The following is an 18,186-nucleotide window of genomic DNA, read 5'->3' on the forward strand; positions in this document are numbered from 1 at the left end:
GGAGCACAGGGAGCTAGAGTGATGTAGAACAACTTCCCCCCATGCTGTGTTGGCCCTATGCTGTGTGACTTCGTTATTTGATTTGGAGCAAGACCATTCCTAGGAAAGCAAATTCTGTATGCTTATATTCAAATGTCAAGACATTTTCCAAAGGTTCTATAAAAATTAAATCTAGATAATTAACCATCTTCTCATAGCTCAGAGCAGTGAGTGAGACACGGTCTCTGTCTTTGAAGAGCTCCCTGTCATATCAAGGCTTGGCAGTGAGGTGAGGAGATTGAGCTTGGTAGGTAAACTACTAACACAATGTACCATATCTCCAAACACCAAGGGAGCATGATCCATGATTAATTCTACTGAGGGAAGAAGGTGGCACAGAGGAGGTGATGTGTCTGAGGCCTGACCTGGTCTAGAATAATTTTGTCAGGAGGAAAGTGAGCTAACTCAGCTTCCAGGTTGCAGTGGCCCAAGGTGTGAAGTTCCTGTGATTGTTCAGCATCTCAGGGCAGATGGGGCCAAAGAAGGGGTGGCAAATGGAATATAACCAGTACCCTCAATTCAAGAGAGCAGGGAGGGTTGGGAGGAGAAGCTGCTGGTGAGCGAGAGAATTCAGAAATCACTGTAGGGAGAGATATCAGGTGATCTCCAGGTATCTTTTCTCCCACTGATGTGTGAGTTCTCTCGCTCACCAGTAGCTTCTCCAGGGTCTTTCCTCGAGCCCAGAAGGCTGAGAGGGGTCCTTGCTACCCTTTGAAAAAGGATGAGACCTGCTCATCACGGAACCCTACAGACACCTAAATGGGTCCAAGCAATACTTCTGATGCATTTCAAGGAGAAGGCTGGGCATTGGGGTGGCTGCTTCAGTAATGGGCAGTGGGACCCTTCCAGCTCTCCACAAGGTCTGTAGCCACACACAGCTGCCCTTGTCCTCAGAGCTGTGGTCCAACTGAAATCATGCCCTGTACCCAGGTCCTATGTCCCCTGACATATGGCCACAGAGAGACAGCTTATTGCTAAAAAACTACCCAGTAGGGAGAACTCAGAAGATCTATATGGCATGGTTCCTGGACACTTTACAGCAGATGTTAAAGTGTGTTGCCCTGAATGTCAGCCTCAAAAGCATCCTTAAAGCATCCCCGGTTCCCTCAAAGTCCTATATGGTCCTGTAATTCTTGACTTTCTTGAAATACTTTCGCAGTTTGCCACAGAGTCCCTTATTGATCTACACCACACCTCAGACTTGCAGAGAAAACAGCTCTTAAAATCTAGCATAGGGTGGATCTGATCTTCCTAACAAGCTGCTATCCATTGAGCAGAGAGTAGCAAAACACTTTTAGTCCGTGGAAGAGACTTCATTTGCTGCATTAGGTTAAATGAATCCTCTACATGATGTTCTGGCTAATAGGTGCTCAGCCTCTGAACGGGGTTCCTCCGTCAGCTTGGTCTCAGCTTTCCTTCCCTTTCTCTTGCCTCTCTGCAGAATGGCATCTGGAATGGGGTGTGGAGGTGGGGCTTCTGTCCCCATGACTGAAGAATAGGCACTTGGATTTGCAAGGTGGTTCTGATCTTCCCCAGTCTCCACTGGGTTACCTCCAGCCTGCCCTGGCCTGGCTCCATGGGGACATGAGGAGCCTTGGAGGTCTGAGGCTAGCAGGGGCTCTGGCCTTTATGTGGCCAGGTGTTTATTTTGCAAAGCCCAGACGAGGCCTGTGCTGGGTGGTCTGTGCTGGATACCATACCCAACCATATGCCAAACCAGGAGTCGGCTGGCCTCAGTGACAGGCCCAGGGTCTTCAGAGGTCCCTTGTCAACTGGAGTAGGGGTGTCTGAGGTACCATTCTAGGCTTCCTAAGTGGGCCCCATCACCCCCCTCCACCTTCCACAGTACTCCCGAAAACCCCTGGGTTTCTGGCCAGGGCATCCTCGAGCTGGTGAACGGGTGATGACCCAGGGAAAACCAGCAACAGAATAACATGATCTACCAGGTTGTGGCCCTGGAGGAGAAATCTTGGCACTCCTAAGAAGTAGAAGGCGCCAGAGAGCTGCGCGCAGGTCTGAATACTGTCTGGAAGAAGAGGCCCCCTGCCCCAGAAACACCCTGTCCCAGCCCCATCTCCCAGTGCAGGGTAACATGACAAACAGATAAAGTTTGAACTTAATGCATCAGCAAAGCCGCATCACATGCACAAAACAAGGTGGAGAGGGGGCTTGAAGGCTAAAACAAAATCATCAAAATGGTCACTCCAGTGAGGCGGGGCCTGCTACCGCTGCAGCACTCAGAACTGCGGTGGACATGGGAGGGCTTGTTGTGTGCAGGTCAGAAAGAGGTCGCTGACTCCGCTTGCTTCACAATTGGGCTTAGCGTCCTGCTCAGGGCCTTTGAAGGTTCAAATCTGGCCCCTGGCAATAAACTCTTCCTTCTTGGAAACTCACTCAGTGACAGCACCGGTTCTCTCCATCCGGCGACCTTTGTCAGATGGTTAACCCAGTTTAACTCCTACTCCATGGACTGTTCTGAGAACTGCCATTGGCTAGCCCACGGGGGTTGTGGGAGGGAGACAGACACATACAACTCACTGTAATTACAATGCTTATGAGTTTTGGAATACCTCTTACATGGCAAAATGTTTACGTAGATTATCTCCATTCCTCTTAACAGTCCTGGGTGGGGGAGGGGGGAGTATATTTCCTCCAAGTTATCGATGGGAAACTGAAGCTCAGAGCCGTCAAGGCCACCCAAGCAGGAAGTGGCTGTGAGGCTGCCTTCTTGAAGAGCCTGGGCGGCTCCACTGCCCTGCACCACCTCCAGCTATAATGCTGTGGGGCGGTGTGAGCCTCTCTTCAAAGGCATTGAAGCCTGTGGGGGAGGTTCAGTCGGGTCCAGCTGTTGTTCCCAGGCACTGTCCCGCCTGAGCTCTGCTCCATGCAGAGAGCAAATGCCTCTTGATTCCCACAAGGGGCTCCCCTCAGGGCCTCCAGGTATTATGCATTGAAGGACGAGGGTGCATGACAGCAGATGTGGGCACCTGGGGCTAGGGGCCCTGGTAAGGCTCACCCCCAGTGAGGGCAGGGCCTGCAGCTGCTGCAACACCAAGAAACTCTGTAGAAATAGGAGGGCTTGTTGTTTGTGGGTCAGAAGCAGCAGGAAACCTGCCAGAGATTCTGCTGAAAAGGTTTAATGAAGGGACCCTTACAGAATGTGGGCGGGCTTAGAGGGATTAAGCCTGCATTGCCAGATTCAGCAAATAAAAATATGTTGTCCAGTTAAATTTGCATTTCAAATAAGCAATGAATAATTTTTTCAAGATAAATACTTATAAGTATACCTAAAGCAATAATATTTGAGACATATTTATACTAAAAAATTATTCATTATTGACCAGGCATGGTGGTTCATGCCTGTAATCCCAGCACTTTGGGAGGCTGAGGCAAGTGGATCACCTGAGGTCAAGAGTTCGAGACCAGCCTGACCAACATGGAGAAACCCCATCTCTACTAAAAATACAAAAAGTTAGCCGGGCGTGGTGGCACATGCCTGTAATCCCAGCTACCAGGGTGGCTGAGGCAGGAGAATCGCTTGAACCTGGGAGGTGGAGGTTGCAGTGAGCCAAGATCGCACCATTGCACTCCAGCCTGGGCAACAAGAGCGAAACTCCATCTCAAAAAAAAAAAGTCCTCATTATTTATCTGAAAAGCAAATTTAACAGGGCATTCTATTTTTTTTTTTCTGGCAACACAAGATTAAGGACATCCAAGAACTAGCTGCAGCAGGAAACTAGGCCAGGAGAGGCAATGGGAAGGAACTACCTGGCAGGAACCTGGCAGAGCTGAAGCTCCCCATAGATTGAGGAATGCAGCCGGCACCTGAGCTCAGCAAGGTTGGTGGCAGGGCAGGGGTCAGTGGAGGGAGTAAATACTCCTACCTCATTCTCTCCCCACCCTCTGATTGCCTGCTGTGCTTCTCCTTAGCAAGAAAATCTGCTGTGGTTTGAATGTGTCTCCCAAAAGATCATGCATTGGAAATGTAGCCCTCTGCCCTCAAGGATGGATTAATGCCATCATGGGAGTGGCTCCGCTATAAAAAGCAAGCTCTCTCTGGCTCTCTTGCTCTTGCCCTCTTGCCATATAATGCCTTCTATCATGTTGTGATGCACCAAGCATGGCCTCACAGATGCTGGTGCCATGCTTTTGGACTTCCTGGCCTCCAGAACCATGAGCTGAATACATTTCTTTTCTGTTTCTTTTCTTTTTCTTTCTTTTTTTTTTTTTTGAGATGGAGTCTCACTCTGTCACTCAGGCTGGAGTGCAATGGCGCAATCTTGGCCCACTGCAACTTCTGCCTCCCAGTGTCAGGCCTCTGAGCCCAAGCTAAGCCATCATATCCCCTGTGACCTGCACATATACGTCCAGGTGGCCTGAAGCAAGTGAAGAATCACAATAGAAGTGAAAATGGCTGGTTCCTGCCTTAACTGATGACATTCCATCATTGTGATTTGTTCCTGCCCCACCTTAACTGAGTGATTAACCTTGTGAAATTCCTTCTCCTGGCTCAGAACCTCCCCAACTGGGCACCTTGTGACCCCCACCCCTGCCCGTAAGAGAAAAACCCCCTTCGACTGTAATTTTCCACTACCCACCCAAATCCTATAAAACAGCCCCACCCCTATCTCCCTTCACTGACTCTCTTTTTGGACTCAGCCTGCCTGCACCCAGGTGACTAAAAAGCTTTATTGCTCACACAAAGCCTGTTTGGTGGTCTCTTCACATGTGACGCACGTCACATGGACGCACAGTCACGCACATGGGTGCCGTGACTCGGATCGGGGGACCTCCCTTGGGAGATCAATCCCCTGTCTTCCTGCTCTTTTTCCATAAGAAAGATCCACCTATGACCTCTGGTCCTCAGACCAACCAGCCCAAAGAACATCTCACCAATTTTAAATTGGGTAAGTGGCCTCTCTTTACTCTCTTCTCCAACCTCTCTCACTATCCCTCAACCTCTTTCTCCTTTCAATCTTGGTGCCACATTTCAATCTCTCCCTTCTCTTAATTTCAGTTCCTTTCCTTTTCTGGTAGAGACAGAGGAGATGCATTTTATCCATGAACCCAAAACTCTGGTGCCAGTCAGACTTGGGAAGACAGTCTTCCCTTGGTGTTTAATCACCATGGGGACACCTGCTTGATTATTCACCCACGTTTCAGAGGTGTCTGATCACCACAGGGACTCCTGCCTTGATCCTTCACCTTTAGTGGCAAGCACCACTTTCCTGGGGGGCAAGCACCCCCCAACCCTTCTCTCCATGTCTCTACCCTCTCTTTTCTCTGGGCTTGCCTCCTTCACTATAGGCAACCTTCCATGCTCCATTCCTCCTTCTTCTCTCTTAGCCTGTGTTCTCAAGAACTTAAAACCTCTTCAACTCACACCTGACCTAAAACCCAAATGCCTTATTTTCTTCTGCAATGCTGCTTGACCCCAATACAAACTCGACAATGGTTCCAAATAGCCAGAAAACGGCACTTTCGATTTTCCATCCTACAAGATCTAGATAATTCTTGTCATAAAATGGGCAAACGGTCTGAGGTGCCTGATGTCTAGGCATTCTTTTACACATCGGTCCCTCCCTAGTCCCAATGCGACTCATCCCAAATCCTCCTTCTTTCCCTCCCGCCTGTTCCCTCAGTCCCAACCCCAAGCGTTGCTGAGTCTTTTCAATCTTCCTTTTCTACCAACCCATCTGACCTGTCCCCTCATCCCCAGACTGCTTCTTAGGTCACTCCCTGCCAGGCTGAATCAGACTCCAATTCTTCCTCAGCTTCTGCTCCTCCACCCTATAATCCTTCTATCACCTCCTCTCCCCACACCCAGTCTGGCTTACAGTTTCATTCTGCAACTAGCCCTCCCCCACCTGCCCAACAATTTCCTCTTAAAGAGGTGGCTGGAGCTAAAGGCATAGTCAAGGTTAATGCTCCTTTTTCTTTATCCAACCTCTCCCAAATCAGTTACCGTTTAGGCTCTTTTTCATCAAATATAAAAACCCAGCCCAGTTCATGGCCCATTTGGCAACAACCCTTAGACACTTTATGGCTCCAGACCCTGAAGGGTCAGAAGGCCATCTTATTCTCAATATACATTTTATTACCCAATCTGCTCCCAACATTAAATAAAGCTCCAAAAATTAAATTCCGGCCCTCAAACCCCACAACAGGACTTAATTAACCTTGCCTTCGAGGTGTACAAAAATAGAGAAGAGTTGCAGTTACTTGCCTCTGCTGTGAGAGAAACCCCAGCCACATCTCCAGCACACAAGAACTTCAAAATGCCTAAGCTAGAGCAGTCAGGTGTTCCTTCAGGATCTTCTCCATCAAGATCTTGCTTCAAGTGCCAGAAATCTGGCCACTGGGCCAAGGAATGCCCGCAGCCTGGGATTCCTCCTAGGCTGTGTCCCATCTGTGCAGGACTCCACTGAAAATCAGACCGTCCAACTCACCCGGCAGCCACTCCCAGAGCCCCTGGAACTCTGGCCCAAGGCTGTCTGACTGACTCCTTCCCAGATCTTCCCAGCTTAGCAGCTGAAAACTGATGCTGCCCGATTGCCTCGGAAGCTTCCTGGACCATCACAGATGCTTTTGGTAACTCTTACAGTAGAGGGTAAATCTGTCCCCTTCTTAATCAATACGGAGGCTACCAACTCCACATTACCTTCTTTTCAAAGGCCTGTTTCCTTTGCCTCCATAACTGTTGTGGGTATTGACAGCCAGGCTTCTAAACCTCTTAAAACTCCCCAACTCTGGTACCAACTTAGACAATATGCTTTTATGCACTCCTTTTTAGTTATCCCCACCTGCCCAGTTCCCTTATTAGGTCTAGGCATTTTAACTAAATTATCTGCTTCCCTGACTATTCCTAGGCTACAGCCACACCTCACTGCCACCCTTTTCCCCAGTTCAAAGCCTCCTTCATATCCTCTCCTTGTATCTCCCCACCTTAATCCACAAGTATAGGACACCTCTACTCCCTCCTTTGCGACCGATCATGCACCCCTTACCATCCTATTAAAACCTAATCACCCTTACCCCGCTCAATGCCAATATCCCATCCCACAGCATGCTTTAAAAGGATTAAAGCCTGTTATAGCATGGCCTTTTAAAGCCTATAAACTCTCCTTACAATTCCCCCATTTTACCTGTTCAAAAACTGGACAGGTCTTACAGGTTAGTTCAGGATCTGTGCCTTATCAACCAAATTGTTTTGCATATCCACCCCGTGGTGCCAAACCCATATACTCTCCTATCCTCAATACCTCCCTCCACAACCCCTCCACAACCCATTATTCTGTTCTGGATCTCAAACATGCTTTCTTTACTATTCCTTTGCACCCTTTATCCCAGCCTCTCTTTGCTTTCACTTGGACTGACCCTGACATCCATCAGGCTCAGCAAATTACCTGGGCTGTACTGCTGCAAGGCTTCACGGACAGCCCGCATTACTTCAGTCAAGCCCAAATTTCTTCCTCATCCATTACCTATCTTGGCATAATTCTTCATAAAAACACACGTGCTCTCCCTGCCGATTGTGTCCGACTGATCTCTCAAACCCCCAACCCCTTCTACAAAACAACTCCTTTCCTTCCTGGGCATGATTGGATACTTTTGTCTTTGGATACCTGGTTTTGTCATCCTAAAAAAACCATTCTATAAACTCACAAAAGGAAACCTAGCTGACCCCATAGATCCTAAATCCTTTCCCCACTCCTCTTTCCATTCCTTGAAGACAGCTTTAGAGACTGCTCGCACACTAGCTCTCCCTGACTCATCCCAACCCTTTTTTCATTACACATAGCCAAAGTGCAGGGCTGTGCGGTCAAAATTCTTACACAAGGACTGGGACCACGCCCTGTGGCCTTTTTATCCAAACAACTTGACCTTACTGTTTTAGCCTAGCCCTCATGTCTGCGTGCAGTGGCTGCCACTGCCTTAATACTTTTAGGGGCCCTCAAAATCACAAACTGTGCTCAACTCACTCTCTACAGTTCTCATAACTTCCAAAAGCTATTTTCTTCCTCACACCTGATGCATATACTTTCTGCCCCCCTCCACTACTTCTCAGCAAGCCAAACTCATTGACTTGAGCCCTCACTCTTGCAAAAGGACCATGTGTCAATATTTATACTGACTCCAAATATGCCTTCCATATCCTGCACCACCATGCTGTTATATGGTCAAAAGAGTTTTCCTCATTACGCAAGGGTCCTCCATCATTAATTCCTCTTTAGTAAAAACTCTTCTCAAGGCTGTTTTACTTCCAAAGGAAGCTGGAGTCATTCACTGCAAGGGCCATCAAAAGGCGTCAGATCCCATCGCTCAGGGCAACACTTATGCTGATAAGGTAGCTAAAGAAGCAGCTAGCATTCCAACTTCTGTCCCTTACTACCAGTTTTTCTCCTTCTCATCAGTCATTCCCACCTACTCCCCCACTGAAACTGCCACCTATCAATCTCTTCCCACATAAGGCAAATGGTTCTTAGACCAAAGAAAACATCTCCTTCCAGCCTCACAGGCCCATTCTATTCTGTCATCATTTCATAGCTTCTTCCATGTAGGTTACAAGCCACTAGCCCATCTCTTAGACCCTCTCATTTCCTTTCCATTGTGGAAATCTGTCCTCAAGGAAATCACTTCTCAGGGTTCCATCTGCTATTCTACTATTCCTCAGGGATTGTTCAGGCCCCCTCCCTTCCCTACCCTTGCCCAGAACTGGCAAATTGACTTTATTCATATGCCCCAAGTCAAGAAACTAAAATACCTCTTGGTCTGTGTAGACACTTTCATTGGATGAATAGAGGCCTTTCCCACAGGGTCTGAGAAGGCCACCGCCATCATTTCTTCCCTTCTGTCAGACATAATTCCTCAGTTTGGCCTTCCCACCTCTATACAGTCCAATAACAGACTGGCCTTTACTAGTCAAATCACCCAAGCAGTTTCTCAGGCTCTTGGTAGTCAGTGGAACCTTCATACCCCTTTCTGTCCTCAATCTTCAGGAAAGGTAAAATGGACTAATGGTCTTTTCCCAAAAACTCGCCAACCAAGCAAGTAATTACACTGAACCCCCTTGGGCACTCTTTAATTGGATGTCCTAGGTCCTCCCAACTCTTAGTCCTTTAATACCTATTTTTCTCCTTCTTTTATTTGGACCCTGTAGCTTCCGTTTAGTTTCTCAATTCATCCAAAACCGCATCCAGGCCATCACCAATCATTCTATATGACAAACGCTCCTTCTAACAACCCCACAATATCACCCCTTACCACAAAATCTTCCTTCAACTTAATCTCTCCCACTCTAGGTTCCCACGCTGCCCCTAATCCCGCCCTGAGAAATATCGCCCATTATCTCTCCATACCACCTCCAAGGATTTTTGCTGCCCCAACACTTCAATACTATTTTATGTTATTTTTCTTATTAATATAAGAAGGCAGGAATGTCAGGCCTCTGAGCCCAAGCTAAGCCATCATATCCCCTGTGACCTGCACGTATATGTCCAGATGGCCCGAAGCAAGTGAAGAATCACAAAAGAAGTGAAAATGGCCAGTTCCTGCCTTAACTGATGATATTCCCCCATTGTGATTTGTTCCTGCCCCACCTTAACTGAGCAATTAAACTTGTGAGATTCCTTCTCCTGGCTCAAAACCTCCCCCACTGAGCACCCTGTGACCCCCACCCCTGCCTGTAAGAGAAAAACCCCCTTTGACTGTAATTTTCCACTACCCACCCAAATCCTATAAAACAGCCCCACCCCTATCTCCCTTCACTAACTCTCTTTTCGGACTCAGCCTGCCTGCACCCAGGTGATTAAAAAGCTTTATTGCTCGCACAAAGCCTGTTTGGTGGTCTCTTCACACGGACGCACATGAAACCGGGTTCAAGCAATTATCCTGCCTCAGCCTCCCCAGTAGCTGGGATTACAGGCACCCGCCATCATGCCCAATTAATCTTTGTATTTTTGTAGAGACAAGCTTTCACCATGTTGGCAGAGCTATTCTTGAACTACTGACCTCAGGTGATTTGCCCGCCTTGGCCTCACAAAGTGCTGGGATTACACGCGTGAGCCACTGCGCCTGGCCTAACTTCTTTTCTTTATAAATTACCCAGTCTGTGGTATTCTGTCACAGCAAAAGAAAACAGACTAAGACAGAGTCCCTTGATGTAATCATCAGGGGGTCCTTGGCACAGAGCAGGGCATAGAATAGATCTGGGCAGAGAGGCAAATAGAAAATACTCAACACAGTGCACGTACAGATTTCCATTCCCTCCTCATTCCATCCTTAGCTGTTTGGATTAATCATGTTCCTACGTCTTTCCTCTAGGACCTACAATGGCTCCCACTGTCTTCAGCACCAAGGTTAATCATTTTCGCATCTGAGGAGTCTTAGCCTTTCCCCTGTAATCTCCTGGAATGCATCTACTTTTCTAAGTGGACAGGACTCCTAGACAAACAACTAATTCATTGTGGTTCAATCCAGCCTCACAGCTTTTGCCTATGCTATTCCCTTGGACAGTCATGGAACATAGAGTTGGGAAGGCTTTTAGGAAGATCTGTTCTTACCCCTTTATGGCCCAGACAGGAAACCTCAGACTTGGTAGGAAGAAGTGACACACTTAAAGTGACACGCTTCTCCCACCTACCAACCTTCCCTAGCCTCCTTTCTCCAGCCATGGTCTCTGCTAGAAAGCCATGCAGGCTGCCTGTCCTGTCCTTGGACTGCATTTAAGGTTCTCCCCTTTGATCACTGACTGCCTTGTTTCTAGTTGCTGCCTGTCTCCAACTCCCTCTTCCTTGACCAGAATACAAAGTTCTTTTTCTTAACTTTCGCTTCAGCATAGTGTTGGGAATTTGAATGCAACAATTTTCTTTTTAAATTACATCCTTTGATTATAGTTCAACAATTTAATCATAGTTATTAAATAACTTAAACATCTGTCTAGTTTGGTACCTGTGGTATAATGGGGGGATAAAAAACCACAGGCTTTAGAATCAAATAGCCTGGGTTTGTTTGTATTTTTTTAAAAACAAACCTTTGTTGAATTTACTCTGGTGAAAGAAGTTCTTATTGCAGCTGAAAGTGTCACACACAGACTGGGGAGTAAATGTCCTGTCCTGGTAGAGTGAGGACCCTTCTGATGGATGTTTAAACTACTTCTGCATTTTGCACTACTTCCCCTAAGACATGATAACTTTTGAACAAGATTAACTTCAATATGAAGTTTAATTTTTTCATTAGAATCAGGATTACCAAACACCCTTTTCTCTAGCTTTGTTGTTCTTCACCTGCAGTCCCTGGATAAATTTCAAGGATCTGGTGAATTCTTTTAGAGAGTATGTAGAAGTAAAACCACCTTTGCAAAAATGATAACAGTGAGAACATTATGGCAATGGCAGAGATCTGATCTACCAACCCCACTCTTGCCTTCAAGCTGACTTCATTATTCATAGGCTTAGGGCTAGCTTTGGAAGACAATAATTTATAGTTTAAATAATAGCCCTTCCCCCAAAACTCAACCACCTTTGTAAAGCTAATGAGAGACCACCAGGTTAGGGGGAGGAGAGGAGCCTAAATTCTGCTAAGGTGTAGACATAAATTATTGCCAGCCATTATTCCGGAGGTCACAAGATACACAACTTTTCCAATCACTCCTGCAGATAACATCATTCTTGTGGAACATAAGGTTGGCCTTTTGAGATAGCTGCTAGCGCCTGTTTTTATCAGAACAGAGCAGAAAAGATTCTTTTGAACTGATAGCCCAAATATCAGTGACTCTGAGTTCCTATTAGCAGGAGGCAGACCCTCAGTACCTCTGCAGCCTGTGTTTGACCTCTTGGTTATTTTCTGGGCATCTTCAAAAGGGGACCCCAAGAGTTCCCGAGCCCATTGGTCCACCACAGATGTCCTGGCACTCCTGGTATCCTCTCTTGGTCTGGCCTCCCCAGCCAGTGCCCATTGCTCTTCAAGTTTCCTGAAGGACTCTCGGTGATGTGATCACCTGAAAGCCGCCAAGGTCCACTCCCCATGGCCAGAGCAGTGATGGTGCTCTGCCTCCGTGTAAATGAGGAAGAAAAGTGCTATTCCTGATCCTGCCTCCCACCAAGTGCCTCATGAAAGCAGCCCCTCGGCTTCCTCCCTCTGTTCAGCCTGCACCCCCTCAAAGAAGCCCTCTCCGCCTGGGATGGCCTCCCCAAGCACACTGGAGCGCCAGCTCATGGAGGGCAACATGTCCATAGCTTGCTGACAGTATGCACTCACACAGTTCAGCTATTAATTTCAACGTGTTGATTAGGTGGTGTTTATAATATTTTTATTTTTTTAGAAACAGTTCTTTTACTTCCGAACAATGTAGTACAATTATCTGTGAGCATATCTGTGGTGTTTATGTATTTTCATTTTCCTGAAGAAAAAGCTTTCGAGAAGCCCTCATAACGGCCGGTGTGAAATGCCTGGGCAGTGACCGCCTCACCCCAGGAACAAGCCACGTGAAGGCCCAGGGTTGTCCCTCCTCCTCCTCCACACTTCGGAAGCTCTTTTCTTCCCTTCTTTCCACATTGTCCCTGCACATACACCCCTCGCCACCTCCTACCCCACACAAATTCCCAGCAGCTTTGGTGACAACTCAGACATTCCTCATTACACGGGTCTATACACAATCTTTTATGAGTTAATAACTACAGTTTCCCCCAAGGACAATGGTCACACTACATTTGTGGGACTCAAGGGCCCTTTTTGCTGAGGAAGGAAAGAAGCCAGGAAAAAAAGGAAGGAAGGAAGGAAAGAAGAAGGAAGGGAGAGAGACAAGGAAGGAAGAAAAGCAAAAAGAAGGATCTTCCCTAAAAGACAACTGAAGCCTCCACCTCTGGTGTCGGAAGCTGTTTGCAACCCCTTTCCCACTCAGGGAAGCGTTAAAGTTCTTAGGGGTCAGCTTGAGGTTGAGCCCGTTACACAGTGTGAGCACTCAGGTGTGAGCATGCAGGTGTGTTGTGTCAGCGTGTGTGTGAGGGTGATGTGTGTTCACACTGTCCAGGGCTAAAGGGGTTCAAAATACCCTTCTTATTCCATTTCCACCTCTTATGACCTTCAGAACCTTGAAGTTTTATCAGAGGAGTGCAATGGAAGCAGTTCCTCCTTCCATTGCAATCACCTTCTCTCATCTGTTGGGACCTTTAAGAAAAGGGTGGAGACTATTCCTGAGCCAATACTAAGGGATATTGCAAAAGGCAGAATGAAGCTGGGGACGTACAATGAGACCTCCTGGGAATGACTGCTGCGAGGAAGCAGCCTGAGCCAGATCTCTGGCAGGCGGTGTGAGGACCTCGTGATGGGGGCCTCATGATGGCCCTGACACAGCGGGGCCAGGCTTTTGAGTAGAAGGGACAGCTGCAGGGAGTTAGAGGTGCTGGCCCACGCAGGCAGAGGGGAGGAGTGCCAGCGATTATGTTGGCCTTTTTACACACTGATTTTTTTTTTTTCCCTGAAGGTAAGGATGGGGCAGAGAAGGTTCTCAAGCAATATTCTGAAATGAGCATGAATCGATGAATCATTTTCCAGAGCTTGGGGGCTTTCCAGGGACAGTGAGCCCCAGGAATCTGACACATGGACTCTTACCAAGAGAAATGGAATTCCTGAGTGGGGACTGCACAGGAAGCAGTAACGCTTTTCAGCATAAACTGTAGTCATCCTGGCCAGGGCTGCAGGCAAGTGAGGGAGCAGCTGCGCCCGGGGTCTAGCAAAGCCCTGGTTCCTCCAGTGAGACCCAAAGCATCTCCTGAAGGAAGGTCTCTTAAACGACCCTCAGAATCGGATTTCGCTCTGCATCGAGTTTTCTGAAACTTGAAGATCAAATGCTGAGGTTACAAATGCTTTCCATTATTTTCTTCATGGTTTTCTAGATTTTAAAACATTGCTCTAGCCAGGGTGTTTTCCCAGCCCCCACGTCCATGGCACCCCCAGTCTCTTCTCTGCACATCTGGATTTCCTACGGGGTTTCACTGGTGTCCAGGGCCGTCACCCAAAGGTGCCTGGCCTGGAGTAAGCAGAGGCTGGAACACAGCCTGAGCCTGGAACACAGCCTGAGCCCTGCTTGTCAAGTTCTGCTTCTGACCAGCGGAGGGGGGCCCAGACTGGGTGCCTATTTCTAATTCCTGGAAAGGTATGTGCCCGCCGAGGCCCAGCTGGTGTCCCCCTCTAGATGAAGTCACCTGCTGGGGCCACCACGACCCACCTGGGGCCCGCTGCCAGATCCCACCAGCCTCTGCCGCCTTTGCCCGGTGCCACTGCCACTGCCCCAGGTCACCACCATGATGATGAACCAGGCTCCCCATGAGGTGCCATAGCGGCACTATGTTGTCTGGGGTCTTCCAAGCCACGTTGTTACAGGAAAATGCTACACTTCCCAGATGGTTTCAAAGTGCAAGCTGCAATAACTCACAGAGCTTTGGTGAAGTCACTCATTCTATTTTAACTCAACTATGGAACTAACTCTACTGTTGAAGGCATGAGGGCGCCGGGCGGGGGAATGAACCAGAGTGGTGGCCATTCTGTGGGCCTTCCAACATTCCTCATCTTCGAGATTTGTCAGTAAGGGATTCTTACTGATTCAGACTTGGGTCTGGGTCCTCTTTGTGAAGATACACTTTGTGTCCTCAAATTTGAATGTTTTCCCAGAAAGCTCTTGTGTCCCCAAGACAGATTTCTGGTGGCCTCCCCATCACTGAGCCAGGCAGGCCCACACATGCCTGCCCCAGGCTTAGGGTGGGGCGTGCTCCATCAGAAAGAACAGGTCGATCTTCTTTCCTTCTTCCCTTCCTTCCAGGTTACACAGCGACATGCAAAGTCCTCCCCAGTATGGACCACATTGAAGCAGGTGTGAGGCAGACACCAGGGCTTCCCAGCCACCAGGCTTCTTTGGCCACTTTTTCGTCTTGTCCTGGTAGAAGGTGGCCATGAATCCAAGCACCCCTTCCAGCCTCACGAGATGAATTAATTAGCCTAAACTGTTTGTGGTAATTCCTTTCCCCTTGTGAGCAATTTGGCACTTTTTGGCACCCAGTCTCTGGTGTGACCTCGCCATCCTCATTGGCACAGCCACCCTGGGAACAAAAGCCATCCTCACGTGTCGCTGAGATCCCAGCCATGTGCACACTCAGCCCAGGTAGGCTGCAAGGGCAGAAGCCTCTGAGACCCACTGACTCTTAGCCTTAATTCTTCCAAATCAACTTTAATTTGCCCCAAATCCCCACACACCAGGACTGTGCCCAGGCTGTGGGGGTCTTACACAGCGTGAAAACTTCAGGAACTTCCTGCTGTCATCAGTTACTGGTCTTCCTATTTACCGTTTGGACAACCACAGACTGAAGGAATCTGAAATGGACCCGTCGGGTCAGTGGCTCTGAGCCACTGTGGGAATGTCTGGCAAGGCTGGAAGCCCTGGGGTCTAAGGTCCAGGGGGCCAAGGTGCACCTGGGCTGGCCTTTTGTTCACAGGCTTCCCTGTGATCTCCCTCCAGCCTGGGAGAAAAAAAAAAATCTCTCTTCCATGCTCCTCTCAAAGGCACCCCCTGCAGGACATCCACACGGTCTCTCTGGGAGCTTGGGCTTTTATTAAAGACACAGCAAGCCTGCCTTGCCAAAATCCCTCAGACAAGGCCATGCCAAGGGCTGGCGACCTCCTGGTAATGTGAGAAGACACCAGAAGAACACGTACTCCTTTTTCAATTAACTGTCCCCCCATCTTTCCGAGGAAATCTGACTCCTGTACCAAGCTTGCCTTCTAAACAGGTTGAGAGCCTAGAAGCCAAGGGACAGGGCTGTGAGGGGAAAGACTGGGCCCAGCCAGTGAGTGGGGGGCAGCCTGGGAGGAGCATGTTGGCAGCATGAGCCCAGCAGGGAAAGAAGGCCTCTGGCCTCTGTCCTGAATGGCAGGAGGAAGTCACCGTCGGCCACCCTCACAGCCCAGGGTTGGGGCTTCTGGAGTGACTGATATCACCCCACGTATGAATCTGGCCCTGATGCCAAGGACTGTGATTCAACAAGGCAACTGGGGCCATACACAGGGGTGCTGGGCCCTGTAGGAGACAGTGGCAAGGCCCTGCTCTCAGGCTCCTGGGTCCCAGTGGGGAGGCAGCCTCATGCATGGATCCTTAGCCCGTGAGGAGCAGGATGGCTGCAATAAGGAGGAGGAAGCCTGAACAGCTGATTCCTCCTTGGGCGGTGGGTGGGGTTGGCTCTGTGGGATCTGAGAAGGCTTCTTGGGAGAGGTTGGGTTTAAGTTAGGACCTTGAGACAGGCAGGAGGAAGCCATTCTAGAGAAAGGTGGCAGTTTCTGGGAGGGGTTTATAATTGAAGCTGGGGCATCAGGGGTATGTCAGAAGAAGGAGGGGCAGTGGAAAATAAGCTTGTAAAAACAGCTTGAGGCCAAACCACAAAGAACACTGAATGCCTGGGGAGGGGGAGTTTAGTTTGAATTTTTATTGTTTATGCATGGTCATAGTTTAAGGATCCCTGCCCCCAGTCTCAGATTTTGCCTTTTCCTGCTTCCCAAGCTTTCAGCTGGTTCTTTTAGTATTTACCTTCATAGCTGTAAATATTATGCTTAGATTACTATTTGATTTTTCTACTTATAATGTCATTCGTTGAGTTTCTGCTACAGAAGATGAGATGTTTATGTATAGTGAGAGCAGTATACATAAACATACTTCCTATCCCTTCAAATAGAGTTACATTATAATTTTAGTTCATTAATAGTTTGCATTACATTATTATTACTACATCAACAATACTCACAGCTGAATCATATAGTAGACCATGGTAACCTTTTGCTTGCTTATTTTGTACTTTTCCTGAAATTAATCATTACCTTGTTGTTTGCTTCTTTGTTTTAGTTTGTTTAAGTTTCTAAGTACTTATTACTAATGAAACCCCAAAGTTTTTGTCAAGTATAGACATCTCCTTTCAGGCTGTTCAGAAAGCCTGTGGTGTCCTACCAACTTCACCCTCCTGGGAAGCTCTTCTGAACCCTAGAGTCCTGTGCATAACCATTTGGGAAAATCCCTTCATCTCTCTCCTGGGTTAAGGTCCCCTTGCCTTCTTCCTCATTTCACCCCTATGTTTTGATAGAGCACATCCCCCAGTAGCTTTCTGAGAAAAGGTGCATTTGGGGCCGTGATACTTGAATACCTGGAAAAGTCTTTTCTACCCTTGCAGTTGATTGATAGGTTGGCTGGGTATAGGTTTTAGGTTAGAAATCATTTTCCTTTAGAATTTTGAAAACACTGCTCCATTGCTTTAAAAAATGTTGCAACTGAGAAACATAAAGCCAGCTTGATTTCTGTCTCCTTTGTATGTGATGGGATTTTTTTTTTCTGTTCTTCTGGGAGCTTTTACATCTTCTCTTTGTCCCCAGTGTTGTGAAATTTCACAATAACCGACCTTGCTGTAGGTCTCTTCATCCATTGTGCTGGAATGGGCCCTTTTAATGTGGAAACTTGTCCCTCTTGTCTGGGACATTTTCTTGAAATATTTCCTTGACAATTTCTCTGACAGTAGGTATTTTTTTCCACCCTTTGAATATAGATGGAAATACCATTTTCCCCAGAATGTAACCAGATCTTGTCGTTCTAGAATGTAGCCAGGGAAGCAAAGGCATCCAGCTAAGTTTGCCTGTGGTAGGAGTCAGAGCGTAAGCTTACTTTGGAAAGGGAGTTCTGCGGTCCACTTTCTGCCTCCGCTGAAGGCCTTCATGTCGATGAAGTGCCTGGGAGGTCCTAAGTCTCATCTTATTAGAGAAACTGCTCCTGAACAGCCTAAGATGTCACCCCATGCATCAGTTCATAGTCTCTTACTCTGCTTGATTTTACTTGCCACATCATAGGTGCTCAATGCTCATTGTTTGTCAAATTGAATTATTTGGGACACAATTTTCCCGTCTGTAAAATGAAGGTGCTGGACTAGAATTCTAAAAGTCCCAGTAGCTCCAATGTCCAACAACTATGCTTATGTCACTGTGTTGGAAAATGACTTATAAAAGGGAATGAAATAGTCTCTGTAAATATGTTTCTCTGCCCACATTTAATGAATTGTCTACCACAATGAGGGGGAGTCCTATTTGTGGGAGCCTGTGTCCATCCTACTGAGTCAGTGGTTG

General features: G+C 47.7%; 1 long non-coding RNA gene across 1 annotated transcript in view, besides 4 other annotated features; it reads left to right on the forward strand.

Moving 5' to 3' along the window:
- LAPTM4A-DT (LAPTM4A divergent transcript) overlaps positions 1-18,186 on the forward strand; it is a 65,743-nt gene that overhangs the window by 26,078 nt on the left and 21,479 nt on the right. The gene's annotated exons all lie outside the window — the stretch shown is intronic.
- Positions 2,345-2,901: an enhancer, noted in NCBI's record as "NANOG-H3K27ac-H3K4me1 hESC enhancer chr2:20280320-20280876 (GRCh37/hg19 assembly coordinates)". NCBI's record gives its function as "activates a minimal SCP1, AML or CMV promoter by ChIP-STARR-seq in primed H9 embryonic stem cells {active_cell/tissue: H9 hESC(primed)}" and the evidence as "EXISTENCE:reporter gene assay evidence [ECO:0000049][PMID:30033119]".
- Positions 2,902-3,458: an enhancer, noted in NCBI's record as "NANOG-H3K27ac-H3K4me1 hESC enhancer chr2:20280877-20281433 (GRCh37/hg19 assembly coordinates)". NCBI's record gives its function as "activates a minimal SCP1, AML or CMV promoter by ChIP-STARR-seq in primed H9 embryonic stem cells {active_cell/tissue: H9 hESC(primed)}" and the evidence as "EXISTENCE:reporter gene assay evidence [ECO:0000049][PMID:30033119]".
- Positions 13,044-13,545: an enhancer, noted in NCBI's record as "H3K27ac hESC enhancer chr2:20291019-20291520 (GRCh37/hg19 assembly coordinates)". NCBI's record gives its function as "activates a minimal SCP1, AML or CMV promoter by ChIP-STARR-seq in primed H9 embryonic stem cells {active_cell/tissue: H9 hESC(primed)}" and the evidence as "EXISTENCE:reporter gene assay evidence [ECO:0000049][PMID:30033119]".
- Positions 13,546-14,045: an enhancer, noted in NCBI's record as "H3K27ac hESC enhancer chr2:20291521-20292020 (GRCh37/hg19 assembly coordinates)". NCBI's record gives its function as "activates a minimal SCP1, AML or CMV promoter by ChIP-STARR-seq in primed H9 embryonic stem cells {active_cell/tissue: H9 hESC(primed)}" and the evidence as "EXISTENCE:reporter gene assay evidence [ECO:0000049][PMID:30033119]".

This window comes from Homo sapiens, chromosome 2, assembly GCF_000001405.40.
Source record: "Homo sapiens chromosome 2, GRCh38.p14 Primary Assembly".
In the NCBI taxonomy this organism is placed as follows: Eukaryota; Metazoa; Chordata; class Mammalia; order Primates; family Hominidae; genus Homo; species Homo sapiens.